Source organism: Homo sapiens, chromosome 5, assembly GCF_000001405.40.
Source record: "Homo sapiens chromosome 5, GRCh38.p14 Primary Assembly".
NCBI classification, from domain to species: Eukaryota; Metazoa; Chordata; class Mammalia; order Primates; family Hominidae; genus Homo; species Homo sapiens.
In genome coordinates, this window is record NC_000005.10 from 71,128,995 (window position 1) to 71,136,866 (window position 7,872).

A 7,872-nucleotide genomic window follows, 5' to 3' on the forward strand; every position below is an offset into this window, starting at 1 on the left:
TTGAAATAAAACATGCAATACAATCAAAGAGACTGATTTACAGTAAATATAGGATGGAGCTTTTGTTTTTTGGAATTAAGCAGTGGTGACTAAATCTAGTCGCTAGGGTTATATGAAAGCTACTGGCAGTAAAGAGAACTATATTTAAAATAATAGGCCAGACGCAGTGGCTCACATCCAGGAGTTCAAGACTAGCCTGGGCAACATGGCAAAACCCCATCTCCACAAAAAATACAAAAATTAGCCGGGCATGGTGCCACACCTCTGTAGTCCCAGCTACTCAGGAGGCTGAAGGGGGAGGATCACCTGAGCCCGGGGAGGTAGAGGCTGCACTGAGCCATGATCAGGCTGCTACACTCCAGCCTGGGCAACAGACTGAGACCCAGTCTCAAAAGTAAATACAAAAAATCTTTTTAAGATAACAATATATTTATCTACTGAACAAAAAATTACCATGCATTAAAAAGTAATGGCTATTAGGCCAGGCGTGATGGCTCACGCCTGGAATCCCAGCACTTTGGGAGGCCGAGACAGGTGGATCACGAGGTCAGGAGTTCGAGACCAGCCTGGCCAAGATGGTGAAACCCTGTCTCTACTAAAAGTACAAAAATTAGCTGGGTGTGGTGGCAGGCGCCTGTAATCCCAGCTACTTGGGAGGCTGAGGCAGGAGAATCGCTTGAACCTGGGAGGTGGAGGTTGCAGTGAGCTGAAATCATGCCACTGCACTCTAGCCTGGGCAACAGAGCAAGACTCAATCTCAAAAAAAACCAAAAACAAAAAAAGTAACGGATGTTAATGGATAATTTTTGATTTTTTTAAAAAAGAGCACACTGAATACCATTTAAAAACATATTCCTTTCCCATAAAAGAGAAGCAGTTTTAAAATTAACTTTTAAAATTTCCTCCAATTCAGCTGGGCATGGGGGATCATGCCTGTAATCCCAGCACTTTTGGAGGTTGAGGCGGGTGGATCACTTGAGGCCTGGAGTTTGAGACCAGCCTGGTCAACATGGTGAAACCCTGTCTCCATCAAAACTACAAAAATTAGCCTGGCATGGTGGCATGCGCCTTGTAGTTCCAGCTGCTCTGGAGGCTGAGGCAGGAGAATTGCTTGAACCCGAGAGGTGGAGGTTGCAGTGAGCCGAGATCACGCCACTGCACTCCAGCCTAGGCAACGAGAGCGATACTTCGACTCAAAAAAAGAGAAGTTATCTCTAGGTAAGATCATGATGGAAATTTTCATCTTACTTTATACCTTTCACTGTTGAAATTATTTTACAGTTGAAGTAAAGGAAATTTTACAATATCCAACAAGAGCCGATGTCATTTATTTAATATCAAAATTAATATTGGAAAAATGTCTATACTTTAGGCTACCACCCATCTGCCTGAATTAATCAGCATTAATACTTAATTTTAAATATTACCTGTCAACGCAGGTCACTGAATATGATCTCCTTTAAGGTATTATCATGTAATAAACTGCTACAAAAAGTCTAATTCTCTCAAGAGTTTTATAGTCATCCACTTCATTTTCAGGTCAACATTTTAACATATTTTCCCATATTTTTTTCTGAAGCTTTAATCTCTGCAAAGCCCATCTTTAAATTTGAAGGAAAAGGTAGAAGAGTGAGGAGCAGCAGTAATTAACTTGAATTTGGAACTTGGATATAACTAAAGACACATTTTGCTTCTTCATTTTTATGTCAGTTTGCAAAGGAAACAGTTATGATTTTAGCTAAATACAGAAATTTTTTTCTTTTTTCTTTTTAAAATTCTACTTGTATCACATTTCAAAACCTACTCTGAATTTTCACTCAGTTCCCACAATATTACCATAATTCTTTGAGCTGTTGGCAAAATGGATCCATTTTATAAAGTCATGCCTTTTGCATTGAGCTTTTGCCTGTCTCATATATTTAGATAAATTTGAAAGCAAAAGGAATATCCACTGTGTTGAATATCTTTAATAGCATGGTTGAAATTTATAATTTGAAATTCGTAAGTTCAAAGAACATTTATCTACTGCTTGATTTTATGCTTGAAACTTCCTATGCTTCACAGCAGTTTTTTTTTAATAGGTGGACAAAAATCCTTCCTCCTATCATTCATAACAATTTTCTTTATACTTAAGTAAAATATACAGAAACTTTTAAAGGAACGCCAAAATCTTGTTCCCTCTTATTGTTGCCACATTATTTTTATTATATTACCCAACCAGGTTTTTATGGTTATGCTTATACTCTCATACAAAACAGTTTTAGAACAAATATTGAAGGAAATGCAGGGTCACAAAATGAATAAGTTTACCTTAATAACATTAATATGAACAATGATATTATTTTATTGAACTTAAAGCACGCTCTTGAGCTTAAGAGCAAAGATGTAGCCACAGTTGAACTTGTATTTATTTGGGCTATATTTGTGCTTTTAATTACTCATACTAATACACAGGAAGCTTATTTGCAACAGGATATTTATATAATTTAAAATATTTTCAGAGTTTTTGTGTGTGTTGAAATGTTAGGAAAACAGAACTCATTCTTAAGCAATGATTTGCAAAGAGCAGTGCTCATATGCAGATTTTTAAGGCGTAGCCCAAATGGTTAGAAATGCTGCAAAAGTTTAATTTTCTTTTGGGTGATCTGTTGTCTGGAAAAAGCTGTTACATGTAAAAATTTGGATGCTGAAATCAAATGGCTATACCCAAATGAGCAAGAATAGTTTAAAACATTTAAATCAGCATCTGCATAAAAATTAATATAAATATTATTTATGACTGTTATGTATATATAATTATATTATGTATAAGAATATATTTATACAAATATATACTACTAGAAAATTGTATATGATTCACTATTTTATTTTATGTAATATTTTATGTATATATTTATTTACACATAATTTATATACTTTTAAGACTGTGTCCATTTTTCATTTATTCTTGGTCTCCGGTTTGAACAACGCTGCTTTATGGCATTACACTGATAATTCTCTCTACTCTTTAGTTCTCTTCCTTATCGCTTATTCATGTGTATCTTATTCCATGCTATAATGTAATGTACCATACATGTGTTGAATTTTAAAAAAAAATTAGCAGAATTTCAATGCTTTCCTATATTACTCAACATAAATATTCTCTATATAGAATGAATTGGAACAAGCTATTTGTGAATCTGAAAGGATAATCAGTGATTCTACCAATCATAGTGGTAAACTCATTCAAACTCAGCCTGTTAAAATGAGACGCTCTGCCCTATATCACTGAAAACCTCTTGATTTGCCAGATTTTTCCCTTCTTTACAAATGAAAATGCTTAGTGTTTTCTGAGTTCCTTTGCACTATCTCCCACTGGATTCAGGTCATTGATTTCATCTTCAGAACACTTGGAAAGTTTATTTTGTGGTGTCTATGAGCTAATTTATTTTTATTGCAATGTTTATTTAAAATGAAACAATAAGTACACTGAAGTTTTGTGCATTTCATTTTATGAAAATGTTATCCCAAAGGGATACAGAAGAACTAAATACAAATTTTCAAAATTTATTGTTTTTTTTTGCCTGCTGCTATATCTGAGGTTGTACTTTTGTTCTGATCTTTGTAACACCTCAAAAAAAAAATGGGTTAAGAGAAGGATGAACAGAAGAATGGATATGAGACCTATCTGATAAGGCAAGCAGATTAATAGACGAATGGAGGAATGTTTGGATGTATAGGTATATATGTGTTCATTGCACACATATGGAGGAATGTTTGGATGTATATGTATATGTGTTCATTGCACAGTTTTCAACTTTTTGTGTTGAAATTTTTATAAAAAGAAGTTGGAGAAATAAAAAACAAGAAAACAGAACCATAAGATTTTTATTTAACATTTTTGATTAAAGGAATTGTATTGCAAATTATGACTTTTTAATTTGGCAACATCCTTTTAATGGTGTTCTTTCTTTGTCCTTCTCTTTCTCTTCCTCTCTCTCTCCCTCTCTTCCCTAAAGCTCCATTCCGACTTAGACAAGGGAGAGGGCACTGCGAAATACACCCTCTCAGGAGATGGCGCTGGCACCGTTTTTACCATTGATGAAACCACAGGGGACATTCACGCAATAAGGAGCCTAGATAGAGAAGAAAAACCTTTCTACACTCTTCGTGCTCAGGCTGTGGACATAGAAACCAGAAAGCCCCTGGAGCCTGAATCAGAATTCATCATCAAAGTGCAGGATATTAATGATAATGAGCCAAAGTTTTGGGATGGACCTTATGTTGCTACTGTCCCAGAAATGTCTCCTGTGGGTGAGTAGGCAAATCAAAATTCTGTGAGATACAATGAGACCTCTTCAACATTGACTTTTTGCAGGTTGATGTAAACATCTTATCTATCATCTAAAAGAATTATTTTTCAATTCTAGAAAATACAGTTCTTTTCATTTATTTTTGTAACTTTTTTGTTTTTCTTTCTGCTTCATTATGAAGATAACTACAGGAATATATAACATTAGTTCCTGTTTTCCACCCTGTGAATTTACCTGAATTCATAGAATCCTTGCGTGCTTTAAGCAAAAAATGTATTTTGTATTGAAATTGATTCTTATCTCAATTCCAGACACCTATACAGTGCTGGAGACACCTACCCTACACCACGAAATGCCAGACAGTAATTCCTAGATCAAAGTAAATGATCTAAAGCATGCATCACATCTGATCTGGAAGTGGTCCAGAAACAGGTGTGTTGCATCTTTTGTAGCTGTAAATAGAGATTCTGGAAGGGTGATACTGTTTCCTTTTCAGGGTAAATAACCCATACTTGTTATGCCATCAAGCCAAGCAGCAAATGAATAATGTCATGAAAACATTATTAGAACAAATTAACAAATTACAATTACAATTATCAAATTAACAATTAGAATATAGTAGCACCATCATTCTAAAAATTTAAATTTGATATAAATATACATTTCCATATCAGCCTAAATTTACAAAGTCCTATAATATGTAGGATATAAGGTCAATAAGTTAAGAATTCCAGCCTTAAGGACAATTTTAAATTATAATTTTTATTCCTCAGTCACCACTGCTAATCCTTCAATTTATTTCAAAGTAACTTCTGGTTTTTATTACATTTGGAAGATAAAGCAACTTATCACATGTAGGTTACAACTTAAAATTCGTGTATGAGCCATTGCTTATATTTTCTAAATCTGACATGACCCAGGGGGTTTCTACTGCTCCTACCACCACCCAGGACATGCGATGAAGATTGTGCACGCTACCGTGAGGGCAGAAGCAGGTTAGTAGCTGTAGGAGCTGTCACATGGATTTACTATAATGCACTTGAAATTGTGTATGTGACCTTATCAGGCATTTAAGGACCATAATCTCTCCTTGACCTAAGAAATCAGCTTGAAGTAATTCACTTAGATTTCAAATTTTAATGTGGATACCCAAGGCTGCAAATCTGTTATTCAGTACCTGCTACACTTTTGGGGTTGCCTCTTTTATGCACTGTTAGAATTGCTAGAAATTTAGAAGTCCAATTGGAAAGAAGCATATCTTGTTAGAAAGTATTCCCAGAAAATGAGGAAGGCTACATTTTAACTGTGTCTTGATTTTACAGGGAGAAAAATAAAGTTAATATTTTGAGGAAAAAATAAGGCTTTTAAGATGACATGCTATATAGTAGACAAATAGTTTAACTCGGTGCCTACTTCATGTACACTGGATGTGTTAACATGAATTTATGACCTTCAGTGACTTTTTATTACCAAAACAGCTTCCTTAAAGCAAACACACACACATGCCTCTACAGTATTGGAAAATTCCGTCTCCTTAGATAAAACAATTAGGATTTTTCTTGGGCCAACTAGAATAATTAGGGCTGCAGAGTTGGAGCCTTTATATAAGGAGTTTGCAGCTCATATCCGAAGAGAGAAATGTATTTGGAAAGTCAAAAGTGTAGGTAAGTGAGAAAGCAGAGTAGTTTCAGCTTTTGCAGTTGGAGTGGGTATAATTTACTGTGTTGTCATAAGATACTGGAAAGATCTTTGGAAGAATAGGTTCTTAAAGTGTTTTCTCATGTGCCCTTACTGACATTTCCCATTGGGCCTTCAAGACAACTCCAGTAAATACTTAAATTGATTTTCAGTGCACTGCTTTCTTTCATTTTTATTTATTTATTTTGAGACTGGGTCTTGGTCTGTTGCCCTGGCTGGAGTGCAATGGCCCAATCTTAGCTCACTGAAGCCTTAAATTCCTGGGCTGAAGAGATCCCTCCACCTGAGCCTCCTTAATAGCCAGTCATGTGCCACCCTGCCTAGCTATTTGTTTTTGTTTTTTTTTTTTTTTTTTACTTTTTGTAGAGAAGGGATCTAGCTATGTTGCCCAGGCTGTTCTCAAGTAGTCCTGGCCTCAAATGATCCCTCCACCTTGGCTTCCCAGAGCACTGGGATTACAGTCATGAGCCACCCTCCTGGCTCCTTTTTTTTTTATTTTTAATAACAGAAGGGTATTTCTTTTGAATGTGAAATTTTACCACATGGTATGAATTAGTCCAAGTGTTTTTATACTAAATTTACATAATATACACTTTTCAAGTAAGTACAAAGAGGTATAAACACTGCTTATGAATTGAATGTTAAAAAATAAATCTCTATGCATTACTTTTGTCTTTCCCCATAATCTCACGTATACACATAAAACAAAAAACAAGAAGACCCAGTTATAGTTGTGGTATCTGCTGTTTCTGCCTTGAAATTTCCAGCTTACAGCTAAGCAACAACTACTGTGCATCCAGAACTTACATCTATGTTCCTAGAGTACTTGTACCCCATTCTCAAGTGCACCCTTCTTACCAGGTGGAAATAGTTCACTGCTGTAATAATCTAAGAAAACATTATGTTTCTCTCTACTTTTTTTTCTCTCATATAATCTAGGCAATTCTCCCTCTGTATCATTTTCCTGAGAAAACTAAAATAATTTTTAATCAAGACCAGATGGAACTTTGTATGGTATATTGACAGTATACCAATTGTTGTGACGAATCTTACTGCCTGTTGTAGATATCAGTGTTTGAAGTATTCCCTATGAAATAACTTTTCTGTCCCAATAATTGAGAGGGCTGTTTCATTTCCAAAAAAGGGAAGAATTAATCAATTAAAAATACATATAGTGAAATAACCTGTTTTGTAACATAAAACATAAGATGAAGAAATATCGGAACATTGATATGAAGTTTAACAGTAATGGATTATATATCCAGAAATATGAACAAATAAACCTGCAATGAAAATTTACTAATGTTACTAATTTTCACTTGTGTAACGTGAACATTACAAAGAACATAGTGTACAAAGGGAGAATGTTGGTGGGTAGGATGAGTCAAGATTTCAGAGGAAAATCAATATTTAAGACTTACAGCACTGTGGAATATATTTAATTTTCCTAAAGTTGAAGAAAATTTCAGTGAATCTATGAATTGTTTAAGACAAAGGTCACTCCGTTACTGACTTCTGCTACATCTAATTTTCCAGGGAAGTAATATTTAGAGATAAAAAGCTTTTACTCTGACCTCCGGAAATTACTTAATGATCCAGATACTCCCAAAGTCAAAGCAAATCCTTGGAGACAAGTTTGGACTTTATGAATGTGGACTTAATTCTTTAAGATCACTAGAGCAACAATAAATTACAGGAATGTACCCTCTTTATATCTGATGATTATGCATAAGTGGGGTGTGCAGTTTTAAGTTACTTTTCCTACAGTGCTGACAGGTTTAGAGTGTTAAATCCATACTCAACTTGTATTATCTTCCTCTGCTTGAGCTATGCCACCTTGAGTCAGCTGATTTGACTATTTATAATTAGATACCTAACCTAT

At 34.9% G+C, this 7,872-nt stretch overlaps 1 pseudogene; it reads left to right on the forward strand.

The window, feature by feature from the left end:
- CDH12P4 (cadherin 12 pseudogene 4) lies at nt 3,995–4,296 on the forward strand (annotated as a pseudogene).